This window comes from Homo sapiens, chromosome 6, assembly GCF_000001405.40.
Source record: "Homo sapiens chromosome 6, GRCh38.p14 Primary Assembly".
Lineage (NCBI taxonomy): Eukaryota > Metazoa > Chordata > Mammalia > Primates > Hominidae > Homo > Homo sapiens.
This window is the reverse complement of record NC_000006.12, coordinates 70,109,570-70,128,961: the sequence shown is the minus strand read 5'-3', so window position 1 is coordinate 70,128,961 and position 19,392 is coordinate 70,109,570. Positions and strand designations below refer to the sequence as shown.

At 38.0% G+C, this 19,392-nt stretch overlaps 1 protein-coding gene across 8 annotated transcripts in view; it reads right to left on the bottom strand.

The window, feature by feature from the left end:
- Positions 1-19,392, bottom strand: part of COL19A1 (collagen type XIX alpha 1 chain) — a 345,913-nt gene that overhangs the window by 83,507 nt on the left and 243,014 nt on the right. For all 8 annotated transcript variants that reach the window (NM_001858.6, XM_047418188.1, XM_011535437.3 and 5 more), the window contains one exon: positions 7,020-7,082. In NM_001858.6, the coding sequence (NP_001849.2) occupies positions 7,020-7,082 (63 nt within the window). The remainder of the gene's footprint in view (positions 1-7,019; positions 7,083-19,392) is intronic.

Sequence of the window (19,392 nt, the reverse complement as noted above, 5' to 3'; positions counted from 1 at the left end):
TCTGGGAGCCATCCCTTTAAAATGTAATCATGGAGAAGATAGTGCCACTATCTTCCAGGCTCTGTGGGAGGGTAGGAGCCTAACTTCAGCCTTGTGCCAAGTTGTAAACCTTCTTCCTGTCACAAAGATATGAGAAAGTTTACTCTTCCTTTGGGTAAAGCCAATTAGCAAACACAAGGAAGTGTGTTCTCTTTCTTACATCAATACTTAAAAACTCTCCTGAACTTTGTTTCAGTGGAATTGAGCTCAGACTAAGTCTACCTTCTCTCTCCTATTGCAATAGCCTTGAATAATGTCTTCCTTGCCTGTTTAACTTTGTCAGGTGCAATTTTTTATTTGACACCACTTATGTAACTCCTGTTTACTCCTAAACACATATGTATTTGACACTGGCCCCGATCAGTCCACTGATGTGGCCCTCTAATGTTAATAATAATATCTTTGCTGCTTACTCTAATGGACTCTTCAGTAATCGACCTTCTTGCTACACTTGTCACTCTCTTGGCTTGTATGATAGCTTACTCTCCTGGTTTCTTCCTATCTCTGTGACTTCGTCTTCCCTCATCTGTTAGAGGTTGGATTTCCTCAGGATTTTCTTCTTTGTGACTCAACACTTTCTCCCCAGCACTCTTATTTACCTTTGTGGCTTAGGTAATATTTACACAGCCAAATTTATAAACCCAGCATATACTTCCCTTCTGAGTTTTAGACCCATATATCTAATTTATATTCCCCGCATATACTTCCCTTAGGAATTTTAGACCCATATATCTAATTTTCTACTTGATGTATGTACTTGTAAATTCTAGAAGCAATTCATAGTCAACAAGTTTAAAACTGAAACAAAAAATGCAACAAATACACATATGAGAGAACAAAATAGAGTTACATCACGCTGCTAACATTGTTTAGTACAGAAATGGGAGAAAAAGAATCAGTTTTTTCTAATGTATCTCTGGAGTTTTTCTTGTTAAATTGAGCAGGAATTCCATTCTACAATTGAAAACAATTAAGGAAAGAAAGAAAACCTGAACTCTTCCTCTCTGAGTGTCATTCTCAATACCACTTGATTCGGCTGTGTCCCCACCCAAATCTCATCTAGAATTGTAGCTCCCACAATTCCCACATGTTGTGGGAGGGACCCAGTGGGAAGTAATTGAATCATGGGTGTGAGTCTTTCCTGTGCTATTCTCATGATAGTGAATAAGTCTCATGAGATCTGATGCTTTTATAAAGGGAAGTTTCCCTGCACAAACTCTTCTGATGTCTGCCACCATGTTAGACGTGCCTTTCACCTTCCACCATGATTATGAGGCCTCCCCAGCTACATGGAATTGTGAGTCCATGAAACGTTTTCCTTTTGTAAATTGCCCAGTCTAGGGTATGTCTTTATCAGCAGCATGAAAACAGACTAATATAATCACCCTCATCCTTATTCCTTGTATATGATCAGTCATCCAGTTTGGTTGACTCTGTCTCCCCAAATGTTTTCTCTTCTCTTAAGAGACAGAGTCAACCTGCCTATACCCAGGCAGCCCACCATCATGTCTTGCCAGGATTGCAGTGAGTCTCTAACTGGCCTTTTACAATCCACTCTTGCTTTCCTGACACACATATTCTCTACATAAGATCAGAGAAATACCTTCAAAAGACATTCTGGCCTCCATTTCTCAAAACTTTAATATCACCTTCAAATCTCTGCATGACCTGAACTCATTTCCCTCTCCAGCATCATGTTGGTCACTCTTCTTCCTCAGAAGTTTCAGCTGTCATGGTCTTTTTTCAGCTCCCTAAACTGACCAAGGTCATTCCCATCTCAGCCTCCAGATCACCACTCTTTGCCCTCACCTTTTTGTCTGGCCAGAAACTAGTCATTAATCAAGTCTCAACTATTATGAAATGCCATTCATGAAAGCCTCCCCTGGCATTCAATAAATATCTGTTGGGCAAATGAGCCAGTAATCTCTAATCATGTGGTTTTTCCATTAAGTTTATTTTTCTGATTAAAAATACATGTGCTGATAGAAAACTTAAAAGGTACAGAAATATTTAGACAACAAAATATACAGAGGTACCCATTCAGATCACTATTGCTATAGTTTGAAGTGAAGATGGCCAAGGAACCACCAGAGGCTAGGAGAGAGACCTGGAAGATATTCCTCCCTAGTGCCTTTGGAGATAACGTGGTCCTGACAACGCCTTCATCTTGACTTCTGGCCCCCAGAACTGTGAGATGATATATTTGTGTTGTTTAGGCCACTCAGTTTGTGATATTTTGTTGTGGCAGCCCTAGCAAGTTAAAACATAATATGTGGGCTAGGAAAGCTGTGCTCACTTGAAAATAAGGCCTAAGGCTGGCTCAAAGCCGAACCTCTTAGTTATCTGCAAAAAACCATTTCACCAGCCGCAAGTGTGGAGGGTCATGAAAGGAAGGGAAGACTCAGGTGAGTTGGGGGGCTGTCTGTAATCAAACCAACATCTGAAAGTCCATATGTCTGTGCCTAAGTCCACAACGTTCCTCAAAGCCAGTGGAGCCTGGGGCACAGAGAAGGAGAGCAATGAAGTTAGAACCTAAACTTTATTTCTCAATCTTCTGGGCCCAGGAAGGTTGCCTGCAGTGTCTCCAAGGGAGCCTACACTTTATATGCCATCGTTGGGTTTAACTCACTGCTTGGAAAGGCCTTGTCTATTGGATTTTGGATAAAGGCTTTCTGTCCTTTCTAGTCTGTGGATATTAAAGTGAAGTTATGATTTAATATGTGAAAAGAAAAATAGATTATTTTGCTAGCAAATTGGTTTTTTTTTTTTTGGATCAATAATTTGGAGAAATGAATACAAGAATTGGTTGCTGGGAGGCACAGCATAAATCTCCAACAGCTGAGACCGAGTGTGGTGATGTAAGATAACACAACTCTGCATTTTCAATATGGAGCTTTAAAAACAACATCAAATATAAAATCCACCAGCACTTGGCCTCCGCAGATAAAACGTATTTTTTTTTCTCCATTTAAAGTGTAGTAAGGAACTGTGGGTCTGATGGCTTCAGTAGTTGACAGAGCCTATCAAATTTTTATTAAAACCCCCAGAGCTGGAAACAATGAAGTGCAGTTTACTGGAACATGAGCAGATTTTCCTTGAGGGGAAGAATATGCTCAGCATTGTTGCTTCTTTGCGAACAATCTTGCAGAATGGGAGCAGCTGTTTTGCACATTATTTTTGTGATAGAGAGAGAAATCTACCTTTTATTCTTTGCATCCATAAGTAGGCATGCAAAAATCCACATAAACACACTCATATCCATCTTCCTGACCTCACTCCTTAGGCTGTCTCTCTATTCCTCATTTGCTTTTTTTTTCTTCCTCATTTGCTTTTTTTTTCCTTCTCCATCCCTTTTTGGATTTGTGCTGTGAGGAGAGAGGGTTTCTCATACCTGAGCTTCTCCCTCCAGATGACATAAGGAAAATAGCAGAGGAAAAGATCAGTTCCTATATGGGGGCCAGAGGGCAAGTGAGGATCCTGGGACCGGAAAATGAACCATGGGCTCTCTGAGCTCGGAATGAGGAGGGGCAGTTTATGAGTAGTCTGTTACTCATTCTCCCATGGGTAGTTGCTTCAGCAGAATCTGGGCTGTGTGACTGTTGAAGCCACTGTGAGTTGAAGAGCTGAGGTCTAGGGCTCCAGTGCAGACATCACATAAATCAATGCCAATTTAAAAGGGAAGATTATTTTAACCTTGGAGTGTCACTTGCTATGTCTCAATACATGGTCCATTATTTAATCTCTAGGAAGGTTTCACTCAGGCCCCACTTCTCTGTGCTTATTTGCTACAGTCAGACCATCTGGCACACTACAAATTGCAATCTCAGTGTCCAAAAACAGACAGGGGTAGGTGGTGGAGACAATGCCAATGGAAAACATGCATCGTGCTCATCATAGCACATTTGGCTTTTCCCTTATGAAGCTGAGGGTGAGGAGGAGGTGGTTACAATACAGAAGCATGGGGCAGTGTGGGTGCTGGGAAAGTGGGTCCCACCACCTCCATCCTTCTTGGTGGGGCCTTGGTGTAAGGGCTCTAACTACTCCCAAAGGAAACAGAATAAAGTGTTTGGTAAGTTATTGTCTCTTAATTCACAGATGGATCTAAAGCCTCTAATGCTAAATGGTTATAGTGCATCATTTGGGATAACAGCTATACTCCTTTCTGTTTATCCAGTCATATTCCAGCTTTAAAGTCACATTTAGAGAACACGTGGACTAAATACCTGTGAGCCTCTATTCTGTAATGGCAAGAAGAATAACTGGGGTTCTTTTAGGTGAGTTAATAATTAAGTTCAAAGTACTGGTTTGTTACTAGCAAGATTTTCCACTCAGCTGCTCTGGTCAGTGCCCATTTTTTTTTTTTTTTTGAAATATAACCTTAAAGTTTAAAAATTTACATTCTCAACTTTAGACTCTAAAATATAAATGCTCCATATATCTTCATTTAAGGGAAAACTGACTCATCAGCAAGATAAACTGTATAGAGAAGTAGGGTTGGGAGACCTGTAAAGATGTGAGCTTTAAAAGTTTTGCAAGGGATAGCAAATATTTAAGTAGCTAAGTAGCAACTAGGTATATTTTATACCAAGGGCGATAGTAATATAGTGTGTTCTTTAAGTTTTTGTAGCTGACACTGTGACATCAGAGCCAACTTATTCTCATTATTTTGAAGCATTTATGATAAATCCTATTTTATAACAGCAGGTGTCATTACAGGTGTCATTAAATTGATTAAATTTAAACATGCTTCAGCATTCTTTTTTTCACTTGTGCTAAGCCTTAATATTTTGAAAAAGCCAGTACAGTTTTTTTTCCTTATTTATTTTATTTTATTTTTTAATGATCTCCAGTTCCATCCATGTTGCTGCAAATGACAGGATTTCATTCTTTTTATGGCTAAATAATATTCCACTGTGTATATAAACCACTTTTTTTTTTAGTTTTTTTTTTAAATTTATTATTATTATGCTTTAAGTTTTAGGGTACATGTGCACAATTGCAGGTTAGTTACATATGTATACACGTGCCATGCTGGTGTGCTGCACCCACTAACTCGTCATCTAGCATTAGGTGTATCTCCCAATGCTATCCCTCCCCCCTCCCCCGACCCCACAACAGTCCCCAGAGTGTGATATTCCCCTTCCTGTGTCCATGTGTTGTTCTCATTGTTCAATTCCCACCTATGAGTGAGAATATGTGGTGTTTGGTTTTTTGTTCTTGCGATAGTTTACTGAGAATGATGATTTCCAATTTCATCCATGTCCCTAACAAGGACATGAAGTCATCATTTTTTATGGCTGCATAGTATTCCATGGTGTATATGTGCCACATTTTCTTAATCCAGTCTATCATTGTTGGACATTTGGGTTGGTTCCAAGTCTTTGCTATTGTGAATAATGCCACAATAAACATACGTGTGCATGTGTCTTTATAGCAGCATGATTTATAGTCCATTGGGTATATACCCAGTAATGGGATGGCTGGATCAAATGGTATTTCTAGTTCTAGATCCCTGAGGAATCGCCACACTGACTTCCACAATGGTTGAACTAGTTTACAGTCCCACCAACAATGTAAAAGTGTTCCTATTTCTCCACATCCTCTCTAGCACCTGTTGTTTCCTGACTTTTTAATGATTGCCATTCTAACTGGTGTGAGATGGTATCTCACTGTGGTTTTGATTTGCATTTCTCTGATGGCCAGTGATGGTGAGCATTTTTTCATATGTTTTTTGGCTGCATAAATGTCTTCTTTTGAGAAGTGTCTGTTCATGTCCTTCACCCACTTTTTGATGGGGTTGTTTGTTTTTTTCTTATAAATTTGTTTGAGTTCATTGTAGATTCTGGATATTAGCCCTTTGTCAGATGAGTAGGTTGAGAAATTAAAGAAGTGTTTAATAAGGAAACATGAAATATATCCCAAACATTCTTCCTAATATAATACTCCCTGGAAAACCTAAATAAAGGAGATAATTTAAAATAGCATCACTATCAAATTTATAAAGTATAAAAAACTTTCCATATTTGATTTTAAATTTGTCAACCATAAATTATCTAAGTCTTTATGTTGACCTTGTTCTGAAGAGAGAGAAACTGGGATTTTATAATTAGCTAGTCATTTAACAAATTTTTTTGACACTTCTCTTTGGGATTTCTAAACAAAGAGGAGTAACAGCTGTCAGAAAAAATTACAGGAAGGGAAAGTAAGAACATGGAAAAGAAAGACATAAAGGGAAGTGTCTCCAATTCTTTCTGTGGTGCAAGAAATCAATGATGAACCATTATGTATACAAGGTATCCTAATCAGTGGACAGAATGCCTCACACAAAGTGATCAGACCCCAAATATTTGTCATTGAATGATGAATCAATCAATGATCTCACCTAGATCTTCTCTTGGCTGCCACTCTATTATGCTCCTTGTAGAATCTGGAACAAAACTCCCTTGCTTTTGCCATTTGGATACTTCCACGTCAGCATTCCGCCTATCCCAAATGTGATTTAAAAAAAACCGTGGGGAAATTGAATGTAATTCCCCATGAAAGGTGGGGACTCTCATTCTTGAACTGTAGTATGCAAATATTTGCTTGAGATTTTGGCGCAACACCTATTGGTTTTGATAAGAAGTCTATCACCTGTTGTGCTACCCAGAGCTTCAAAGTATCAAATAATTTCTTTCTGCCCTCAGAGAGGCTAGATCTATGATATTATTGATGGTGGAACACAATGTTTTGCATTAACAATCTTTGAACAAAATTTTTAAAAAACTTATTAGGATAAAACCCTAGATTTGTAAGATACTGAACAGAATACTTTTTTTATTTTTGTTTTTGAAAACATAGCTTTCAGTATGGAAAGATGTTTAAATACATGTGATCATGTATAAAAGTCTGAGAAGTTAGGAATTAATAAGTTTTTTTTCAAAAATACAATCATATAAAATTTCTATGTATTATAAATTATGGGAAAAAAGAAGCCATACCTTGTTATCCTTGTTATAATATCCACCAAGAGTTTGGTGTATTCCTTGTATTCCAGGAGGTCCCTGTATTATAAACAAATCAAAGACAAATATATACACATTTACCAAAACAATGAATATTTAAATAACATATCTAAGAACTCTTGAAATCATATAGTGAAGAAAAAGGACTTGTCTATTTAGTCAAATATTCTGATTAATAGAGAAATACACGGGCATTAACTTATCATCAGGTTCCTAAGATATTTCTAGGTTAAATCCTGCATGAATCCAAAAAGAGGTCCTAAGTGGGAGCATGTAACATTTTACCAGAAGGTCAGCCCTCAGCATATTCTTTATTGAAAGGAATTATACCCATAAGACCCTCCCAGAGAAGAGGGTATAACTCTTCAGTTTATTTTTGGCACTTCTCACAGGATTTTGATCAATGTACTATAGAACTGTGTGTTCCCACATGTTATTAACTTAGTAAATTGGGAAAAAATGTTTTTCTATTGCTTTACTTTTTTGAATTAGTTGTAAGAAAATGGGATGCACATGGACTTTTGGGCCAGAAAAAAGATGTGTGCTATAAAATCTCAGGCTTAAGAAATTTAAATATTGATAGTTTTCAGTTGACCTGGAAATAATTCAGTAAGCACTATGCTGGGCTTGGAGTGGATAGGAAAGAAGCAAATACATTTGGCTGTCCCTAAAGCTTCTAGGAAGAAAGGAAAGAAGACTTTTCCAGGTTTTTCAGGGATTACATTTTGGGGTGAGGGCCATAAAAAAACACAAAGATTAGCATTATTTTAGATTAAGTAATTCAAGTCAAATAGGTTCAACTATCTCAGAAAAGAGATTGCACATTTCATCCAGAACTCAAAAGCTAGGAGGAGAGAAAATATTATAGAGACCAAGTTCTTAACATGTTACCTTATAAGATAAGACACAGAAGGAAGATGATTAGCCAAAATCAAACAGCACCATTATACAAAGATTAATATTTTTCAAAGGGAATGAAAGCTTTGAAAAGTGGAGAAAAATTTTAAGAAGCAATCGTTAGCTGCACTCACTGATGCAGGTAACACCTTAGGTATACAGAAAAGATTAATGTTGGTTAACATTTACACCAGGTGTTTCTTATGAGCAGCTTGTGACTGAAGATCTCTTCTAATATAAAACCTTTGCATTGTGCCACTAAACATAAAGGGCACAAGAATGAGGTGATGGATACTTAGAAGCAGGCTGGTATAATTCTTGAGAAAATAATGGGCCTCACAAGTAATGGTGTTGCCTATGATTGGAAAGACAAACGATGCTGTTACCATGCTGAAACAATAACGGAGCTATTGTAAGAAGAGAATTCTTATGGCATTATATATTTTTCATGCAACTTTTCAGCAGCCAGCATTGTGTAAAGAATTCTAGGTCAGTTAGAGGAAGTAAAGAAAGAAAGCAATCATTGAGTGGGGGGGTTGTTACACAAAGTATCTAGCCAAGAACATGCAAGTTAAGATCTTATTCTTGAAAGTCAGGAGACATGAAGTTCCATACATGTTGATCCTTCTGCAAACATATAATGAGGCAAGGAGGAATTTTAGACACCATATGTAGTAGCATTAAGAGGTGGCTTAGGGGTATATGTATAGTAGGCATTCAGTGAGTGTGTGTTGATGACAAGGCTGATTAGATCAAAGAACAGTGATGAAGTAGGTAAATTTAACTTCATACATATTCAATCTAGTTAAAAGAGAGGGTCTTAATTATTAGAACTCTTAAATATAGCATAAAAATTAATAATACAGTCTCCCAAATAGAGTAGCAGAATCAGTCAAATAATAATAGCAAACTCTTTTTGTTGTTGTTTTTTGAGACAGAGTCTCACTCTGTCACCCAGGCTGGAGTGCAGTGGCACGATCTCAGCTCACTGCAACCTCTGCCTCCCAGGTTCAAGGGATTCTTGTGCCTTAGTCTCCTGAGTAGCTGGGACTACAGGCATGTGCCACCATGCCTGGCTAATTTTTGTATTTTTAGTAGAGGTAGGGTTTCGCCATGTTGGCCAGGCTGGTCTTGAACTCCTGACCTCAAGTGATCCACCTGCCTTGGCTTCCCAAAGTGCTGGTATTACAGGCGTGAGCCAGCGGGCCCGGCCAATAGCAAACATTTATATAGTGCTTATTATGTGCTAGGCATTACAGCAGGAATTAACTAATTTAGTCCTTACAATGACAGGAGGAATGTCCCATCATTCTCTCTGATTCAAAGATAAAGAAAATGAGGGTTGGAAATGTTTAACTGGTCCAAGGTCACACCACTGGTAAGTGGCAGGGCTAATATTTAACATTAGCATTGGGCCCAAAGCCAGTTCTCGTCTACTCTACTATCTTAACTTAAAGGCAAACTCAGCCAAAAATCACTTTTGCAGTAATTTTCTTATCATGATGATGTGTGTACCCTAGAGAATACTGGGTGATCACTCTTCTATGTTCTATTTACTTTACTGAAATTGAAAAAAAATCAACAAAACTTCTACGTAGCACTTCTGCCAGGTACTTCACAGTGCTTGGTGCAGGAGGCGGGAAAGTGAACACATTACCTTTAGCTGTAGTCATACCGTGTAGTTGAGAGAGGCCTCTTTATCTACTCCTTGTATCTCCCATCTATGTTCATACAGTCTCTTAACCCATGTTAGGGAGATTATCCCTGAATATTACAAAACATTTCTCCTAGTCTGTGACTGTATTCAAATGTATCCTATCTTTGTTTGTAGAGGTTGGGAGAGCAGGTGGTCTGAGATACAAGAAGTGTGAAGCCTCCCAAAGGGTTCTGGGAGGCAGTAAGGAAAAGAAGCAAGAAAGCAAATGTGTTGTAGGGTTTGCACAGAATAAAACAGGTAGCAGTGTAAGTGAGAACAGTAAAAAACAATAGAATGATAATGATTTGTAAAAAATTGGGTGAAATGGGATATGATCCTTTACAGACTGGTCATATGCACACAGAAGATAGCTGTATTTCATAAGCAAAGTATATACTTCTCATGCAGGATCCTGATCTGGCTGCTGCTGAGCTTACCACTGGGGGTGGGGTGGGAGAATATGCACGGCTCAGTGCAGCTGCTCCCTCTAAAAACAAAGGCAAGGGCACAACTCACTAAAAACAATGCCAAGAGCAATGAGGCTACAGAAAAGGTTGAACGTTATTATTCAAATATCCACAAGATTAATAAACCCATAAAAATTACTTCTACATTTTCATATGTTCTGCTTTTGTCACAAAATGTCTTATCTTCAAAGTAGTACTCGAAATGGGTTTGATCTGAAGTTTTAGGTTCTACCACTTAATCTCATCATGAGTATTTATGATGACATTTTCTTTCTCACTTTTTTAGTCACTGGGATAGTTTGGGTACCACAAATTGCAAGTTTAATGTGACAGAAATTTACAGCCAACCGTCTACCCTGCAGGCAATACTTTATACAAACTCTCCTAGCGGTCCGAAGGAACCCTTCAGAGACTAGAAAGAGATGCCAATTAGAGTCTTCTGGAAGTCCCCCTCTACTCTGACTATAGTCAGTGAGGCAGTGTCTCACTTGGTTGCTCTAACACTGTCAAAGATAGTGGTCATTAATAAGCTATAAGCATTTAAATTGCAAAAGCAACTCTGTTTACAGTTGGAACACAACCTTGGGGTTTCAGAATTGGTGGCTATCCTACCAGCCACATCCCAAGAGATGTGCTATTTTTCTATCTTCTATTCTGGTATGAAATATGGCTGGAGAAGATCCAAGGAGTTGTCGCCAAGTTTAGCAAGAGTTGTCTATCCTGCAGACTACCAATCAACTCCAAGAAAGAAGTTAAAGACTTGTGGTAAGTGACAGATCTCTCGGCATCACATGGTGGTGTAGATGCTCTAGGGCAGTTGACAGAACCCTTTCTCTGAGGTTTGCATTTACAAGGACCCATCAAAAGACACTTAGATGACCCAGGTCCAGTGGTGAAGAGAGGCCAACTGCAGAGGGCATGTCAGCCTTGGCTTATGCTCTTAGGAGCTCTGCTAGGAAAAGTGGTTAAAGGTTTATGGAAAGGAAAAATGTCCCAATATCTTGCTTATAACAGTGACCCACAACATGATTGTACACAAGTCATGCCTATACAATGTCTGTTTTTTACGGAGATTTGCTTCACTCTATTTGTATGGGATTGGGAGATATAGGACATCTGGATTAATGTGGTGAGTATACAATTACAGAGCAGCTAAAATATGCTAATGAACTCCAGGGAGAAACAACTGTTCTGAACCTAACTGTACTGATTCATAATTATCTGAGAGGCCTATAAACCTGGTGTGGATAGAGATCCTGATGTCGTTTCTTACTGCAAAGAACTACAGCAGGTGTGATAAAGTGAATTAAAGCTATATTCAATTTGGGAAGTATATACTCTCAGCAATAGTTCTAGCAGCTTTTAAATAGTTTTTGGCTTAAATCTTGCTGGAGGTGGAAAACAGAAATACCATGATGTCTGCCACCGGACTTGTCAGACACGTAGTGTAAAAATGATGAGCTATTTGCATTATCATTCCCTTAGTAGATTTCAGTTTTGGCTGCACATTCCCAAAGTTTAAAAGTTGGGAAGAGTTCTCTGTTAAAAACCATAGTCCTTAGTCCTAGTCTTAGCTGCATTTTCACTTTTTAGCCAATTCACCCGGTATACTTAGCCTAAAGAGCAATATTTTTGCCTTTTTTTCCCTGACTGTTCTTTGCCATAAGCTGTCTGTGCAAGTCAGAGCTTGAGCCTTCTGATCCAGCTTTAGCACACTCTGCACATTGTGAATCAGGAGCTCTGTGGCTCCTTAGTCAAATCGCCTGCTCACTCTCTGATCCTCAATCTTGAACTATTTTCCTTTCTCCCTTTTCTCTAAAAGTACCCTGTACCTCTTCATCTCTGTTGACTGAGTCTCCTTGAGCCATCCAGATGCCACTTATGCACCATAGCTCTTCAATCTCCTATTGGAAGCTTTTTTCTGGATTCAAAATTACATGTTTTCAGGTTACACACAGCTGCTTTTGGCCCTGTGGGTTTTCAGTTAAATTCAAGAACAATCTTTGAAATACCAAAAACCTCTGTGAAGGAAGTTGTACTAACCAACTCTCTTCAAAAGTGCTAAAAAATCGCTTTTCTGTAAGAACAGATAGAATGCTTGTTGGAAAGTCCTTTGGACTAATTTTCAAGAAACATTTCCAGTGTTCTAATGGCTTGTAAAAAAGTAGAGATCAGTAATTATTTTTCCCTTTGTATTCAAGAAAAAAAAACAGTCATTAGGAAGCCTAAATTCAGACATAGGAATGGTGAGATGAAAAAATAATAATGGTTGGAAAAGGTAATGTCAAATGAGTTTTTCTCTCATTTATGTTTCCATCTATAACACATTATACATAACTTAGTAAAGCACATTTACATTGAGTATAGTGGCTTATGTACATGTTTGTATTCCCAGTTGCAACAAAAACTTTGTGAGGGCAAGGAGTTTTGATCCTTTTAAACTCAGCACACTACAGTCTGCAGTATCTGTCTCCCATCACCAGCACCCAATGTTTGTTGAATTCGGTAGAATCATTGCTTTTATAAGAAAAAGTCTGTGGAGAAAGCCATTTTTTTGTTTGTTGGTTTTGGTTTTAGTTAGAAATGGTATCAAACAGAGCAAAGGGCTTGCTTCTTCCAAATTTATAAAAGACAAGACCAACAGATTTAGATTAACCTAAGAATGTGGCTAGTTAATTGAAAGCATAGTTATAGTGAGCTCCAGTTAAGTAGAAAAGAGCTCATGGATGGATTTTTGGACCAGAATTACAACATATAAGTTGTAAAGTAATTCTGGGGGAAAAAATCAATAATGTTCTTTAGATAGAAAATATTGGGGGACTCAATTTCTTTTTTTAAAAAAGACACACATCCTTTTCTCTGTCTTAATATTTACTCAAAATGAAATTTTTTTCAGTGTCTCTTGGGGTTTAATTACATAAATTAAGCAGTTATAATTGTAATGGATTTTTTTTCTGAGAATGCTTCTGTTGAGAATTTTTAGTGACTAAAGGGATACCAACACCTTCTCCCCACCAAAAAAAAAAAAAAAAACAAAACACCAAAAAACAAAACAAAAAAAACAACAACTGCTAGAAACTCTTGAACTATAAAATGTGATTCCTAAAGCCAAGAGCAGATTCAGTGAGTATTTATATTATTCTTACATTTCAATATAGAGACCTCAAGCTCTCATACTTGGGATTAAATGGGTCACCCTAGAGAACATGGGCCACATATAGGTGAAATTTAAAGGTTCCTGGGAGGAGGTCTTTTTCCTTCAAATATCTTGCCTGCTCTCCAGGTTATGCCCAAAATGTCCTAACAAAAGTCTTATTTTTTTTGATGTTAGGTTTTACTGCCAGATCAAATGCAAATGTTCCTGGGAGATATAATACTAAAGGTTCATGTTTTCACAGCTCTGGATAATTCTAAAAGTATTTTCACTTATATTTTCTTGGGTGGTAGGGTAATGTGACTGTAAAATGCATTATCTTATTTGATTCTTATAATAACCAACTGAAGTGGGTAGTATTATATTTTCCATTTAACAGATGGGAAAACCAAGAGATTTTTCCCCAAACCACATGAATGGTAGAACCAAGTCCAAAATCATTCCATTCTAATAGATTCATGTGAATTGTTCATTACATATTTCCCAAGAGCAAGGCGGGTAGGACAGGAAAGGAGAAGAATAAAGGGATGGCCCTTGGGGGCTAAGGACAGGAGAAGACAGTACCAAGTAGGAAAGGGAGGCTGAGGACTCTGCAGACTGCATCTCTGCCTCCACCACCGTTAGGCTGAGGGCTTTCACTTTCTGGAAAGAGGCTTTGAGAAATGACTTGTGAGCCAAGTCTTCAGGTTAACTTGGATTGTAAGTGGTGGGGACTCAAATGGAAATAAGCTCAGGGAAAATTCATGTTTCAGTGCTAATCTGATGGACCTGTTTCATTCATTGGTCAATACAAAAGAATACAGTTATGAAACTTAAATGCTCTCAATTTAAAAGAGATGTTTTCAAGTGTGTTTGTTCACATTGAAAATAGAATCTAATGAGTTTTTCCAGATGATGAATATGTATATGCATATATTTAGGCCAACATTCTTAGATGGATGAAGTTTCTCTATAAAGACTTTAACAGAGGAAAATAGGAAGGAGGGGAGCCAAGCAGATAGAAGAAAAATTTACATGCAGGTGATAATAAAAGAGAAAAAATATCAACCCTTTTGCTTTGGAAATGTCAGTTCCTAAATCCTGGGAAAGAAAGACAAAAATAATGAGAAGATGGCAAATAATGATTAAATGAGGATAATGATAACAAAAATATTAATAAATAACAATAGTTACCCTTTGAAAGTGACAACTGTGTGAGGTACATGCATTATTGCATTTAGCTCTTACAGCAGCCCAGTGAGGTGGTGTTTCCTTATTTTACACATAACAAAAGACTAAATATCTGACTCAAGGTCATATAAATAGTAGACAAGAGCTAGGTTTCAACTCAGGTCTGTCTGACCCCACTGCCTTGATCTTTTAACTCTTTCCCCTAAACCACCTCACAGTGAGAAGGATGATGGGAAAATAAAATACCAATCATCTTAAAGCTGGTTTTTAAACAATCGAGCAGGGCATCGTGTGGTGAAAGATCACAGGATTAATGAGGTATACAATCACTAAGGGCCAAGAAAAGAATGGTCTGAGACTTGGTGTAGACATGCCTTTTGAAAGGGCTGGGCACAGTGGCTAACACCCACAATGCTAGCACTTTGGGAGGCCAAGACGGGCAGATTGCTTGAGCTCAGGAGTTCGAGACCAGCTTGGGCAACATGGTGAAACTCTGTCTCTACTAAAATACAAAAAATTAGCAGGGCATGTTAGCGTGCACCTGTAGTCCCAGCTACTTGGGAAGCTGAGGCAGGAGAATTGCTTGAACCCAGAAGGCAGAGGTTGCAGTTAGCTGAGATCACGCCACTACACTCCAGCCTGAGTGACAGAGCAAGACTCCATCTCCAAAAAAAAAAAAAAAAAAAAAAAAAGAAAGACTTGGATGACAAGAAGAGTCAAGAGGAAAGTGACCAGAATGGGAGAGGGGTAAGGATAAGAGAGAGGAACAACACAGAGACACAAGGAAGTTCAAAATCATGGAGGGCTTCTACTAGAAAGAGAGCAGGAGAAAGAAAGATCAGAGTTAGGCTGAGATGGAAAAGGAAGGAAGTTAACAATCTCAACCAGCATCTTAAATAACTTTTGAGGTTTCAATAATGCCAAATGAAGGGCAAGGAGCCTTCGCGCTTATAAGATGGTGGAAGAAAAGAAAAAATAAATATAGTCAAAGGAGGTGGAATAAAATACTAGCTAATCAAGAGAGTATATTGCTTGGGGATGATTTTGGTGCACAGAAACTCCAAGGAGCATGAAATTGCAGTGGATAACAGTTGTGGGAAAGTTGTCTCACTCAGGGAAAATGAAATATCCTTCACTTAAGACTACAATAGTGCCATTGTATTCTGTTGTGGAGGAGAGATTGTGTATTAGCATTGCAGGAGTCTGAAGAATTTAAGTGATACAGTACAATGGTTTAAGCATTTATCAAGGACATCTTTTGGGAATTTCCCCTACAAAAGATAATAACAGTTTAGTTGGAAGCTGGCAGCGACATGCTTATTCTTGGTGAATGTCTGAAAATTCTGAGCAGTGCTGTGATCCATGATCTTGTCTTGTCTCGCTAGCTTTTCCCCCACCTTGGCATATACTGGCACCATACCTTGAAAGATCTATAGCTCCTAAGTGTCTCAGTCTAAGATATCGCTAGCATCCCTGGTTCACAAGTTCAGAGGCAGTGCGATTAACAGGTGAAGGATTGCAGCAAAGGCAGCTCTGGATGTTGAATGAGAATTTTTCACATCTGCCACTTTGGACATTTTTCAAACTCGTTCCCCCGTGTATTCCAGGAAAGTGTTCACTTGAGCTGGGCTTGTCTGCTTCTGGCCTGCATACTGAGCTGTGTAATTGAGGGAACTCAAGCATAGGCCGTTTATGGTTGTATGAATAAGCAAAATACTCAATATGTGATCTGATTGTCTTCCAAAATTGCACAGTCCCTGGTTTCACTTGTCATTTTGGAACAGAAGTGGGAGGATGAGACTGTGACAGTGAATGCATTCAATGGGCATAATTAACCCATTTCATAAAAGCAGATTTTCTAAATTATGCTAGGAAGCTTGTAGATTTTTTAACACTTTGTTTTCTAAGGCAGAAAAAAATATATTTAAAGGTACTTATTTCCCCAGATATCAACCTAATTGGTGTAAAGCCCACTGCCTTATTGATAGAGTGGGACATTTTGACTGATCTCCATGGCATGATAGTTAGAAAAAAAAAGATTCCTCCCCTAATGCTGCTATTCTGCTTATCCATCCATAAAATGTTTCATACTCATCTCTCCCCAGTATGTCCTGAAAAAGGAAAAATATTATTTGTCAGTGTCCTGCAATATAAGGAGCAGCAGGAATCTTTAGAGTGCCTTGCCACCCACAGATGCAACATCAATGACCCAGTACAAGGTGATAAAAGCCACAGGGGCATGAAAACTAGCAAGGAGGGGAATGTGTGAAACAAATTATTTGTATCCAGTGGTGTCCTCAAAAGATCACCACCAACAAAAACCATACCTTAGGAACAACTGTGCCTCCATCCCCTTGTTTGACCTCAGGAATTTTTCAATATGCCACCAAAATCTGGAGGAAAGATGGCTTACATGGACCCCACAGGCAGCCCACACCTATGAATGCTTTGAGTTTCCATTTACTGTAATTAGGTGATAACATTCATTCTCTTTAAAAGTGTTGGTAGAATGACAACTCTTCCTGAGTTAAGAAAATGCAAGTTTCAAGGCACACTGCTGGGACTTAAGATAACCAGGCTGGTGGCACTAGCTTATACACTGCCAAGTTACATAGAGGCCAAGAGCATGTGCACAATTTGAATAGCTGGGGACATTCTGGGCAGCTCTGGAATAATTGGGTGATTGTGGTCCTCACTTTCAACTCAAATGTGTGATGTTAAGGTCTCTCCCTTATCTATAGGTTGTGCTAATGATAAATCTACAAATGACAATTCTTGGCTCAGCTGAACACCATGGTTATAGACAGTGTGCTCAGGAAAGTTCTAAAAAATAGTTAATAATTTTAGTTTTAAAACACGTGGCCCCATTCCACAAAGGATTTCAGTCAAAGGAGAAGATACTGATGATATCAGCCAGTGAAGAAGTAATCAGTGATATTAACTGTTACTAATCCCATAGAATGTTTTTCCTGCTTCTTAAAATGAATTTGAACTATTCTAAGCATGCTGAAAAGTACAGAAAATAATATAAATTGCAATGAGTCCAAAATCCTATGTTGTCAAATATTAACAATTTTGCGATATTTGCTTTGGGTCTTTCTACTTTTTAATGAATTCATTACAGACATAGCTGAAGACCCTTCAAATCTTATTTTCTGCCAACTTTTCTTCCATGTTTTAGGTCCCCTAGACAATGCTGAAAACTTGTTGCTTCTCTAGTTATATAATTTCCTTCAGTCTTTACTTTGATCATACTAAGCTATAGTTACTGATGTGCAGAGAAAACTGACTGCAAAAATTGAGCTGAGCTCCTTATTCATCAGGACCTAGAATATTCTTATTAAATGAAAATAATCTTTTCTTGCCTACCTCACAAAGATATACAGCAGTAAAATTACATACAGTATGGAGATCCTCTTGGAAACTATATCATCAAATGCAAACTATAAGATTATTTAGGAAACAAATATCCCGTTCTGAAAATTAAGGTTCTAATAAATCTGACTGGCCTTTGACTTCTCAAATCTTAATGTTTACCCAACACAAAGAAATGATGTTGAATCCAGGCACCATCACAACTAATTACAAGTTTGGTGACCACAGATCAAGGATTTCAAATAGTCTGTCTCATCGTTGCTGTAAATAACACATGTCAGTCCAGATGTCTTAATAGTTGGTTTCAAGAACATAATACAAGATGAAACAAGCAGTCAGTGGCTGTACAAATATAATATTTTTTCCACCATAATGTTACCACTATTAGTAAAAAACACAGGAAGTCAGAAAGTGACTAATAATGTCCTACTGCTGCTGTCCGTAGGGAGAGAAAAAGAGAAATAATTAGAAAATAAAACCTGAGAGCCAGTTTTCAAAATCTCAACCTGATATCCCCAGCTGCCTCACATGCATGTCTATGTATTCTGTGGTCACACAAGGTGACACTGGAATTTTAGCAATGTTGGGAACAGCTGTTTTGTCTGGGACCATTACCCCCATGAGGGACAAGTGGCAATAAACATGATTAACTAGCCATGTCTCCATTTTATAGGTCTTATGTGTCTATATTTTTAAATCTGAGAAAGTGTCATCTTACTTTTTTTTAAGAAATGAAATTCCTATTCCCATTGACTCAAATAAATTGTTAGGTTCATTTTCTCTGAAGATATTACATTGCACAGACTTTAGTCATTTAACAGAAGAGATTGTGGTTCTCTTGCTGAAAGGAAAACTGAGCAACATGACTAAGCCCTGATCAGTTCAAGCTTCTAGAAGGGATGTTAAGAATTTGAATTGGATTCCCATTGATACATGATGAGCTTCAAAATGCATGTAGTCACATTCAAGGTATTCTGAGGGTATTTTAACAAGTGATCAAATGTTTCACTGAGACAGTTTTTGTCATCTGCTTTATTCAGCAGTCCAAAAATGTGTTTTGGGACACTAAATTGTTTTAGAGGTGGGTCCTGCTATATGCTGAAAATAATAACTTTCCTTTCAGTTTTCAGTGCATAGTAAATAAAGTTGGAGACGGAAGATACTCAAGTTGAGAACAGCGATGGATAAGGGGGCACAAGTGCCGGAAGGCACTTAGTTCTATGGCGTTTTGAGGGTATGTATTTTCATTGCCCCAACTGTTCAACTGACTCAACCTATAGCCTATCAGAAAGGAAACATCAGATTTAGCTGTGGGGAAAAAGAAAAGACTTAGATGTGATGAAATTCTCCATCTCTAATGACCAAAGTGATATCCAGTGGATTCAGACAAGACTGAAATTAAATGGGCTACAATCAAACCTTTGTCAATTTTGTTTTCTTTCAGCAAACAAGCCTATTCCCCGTCCACTCAAAGACTAAAGATAATGGGCTAAAAACAATATTACCTTCAGAATAATTTATTTGAATCAGTAGGAACAGTAATTTCATCACATAAAAAAATCAAACCGCTGCAGATACACACACACACAC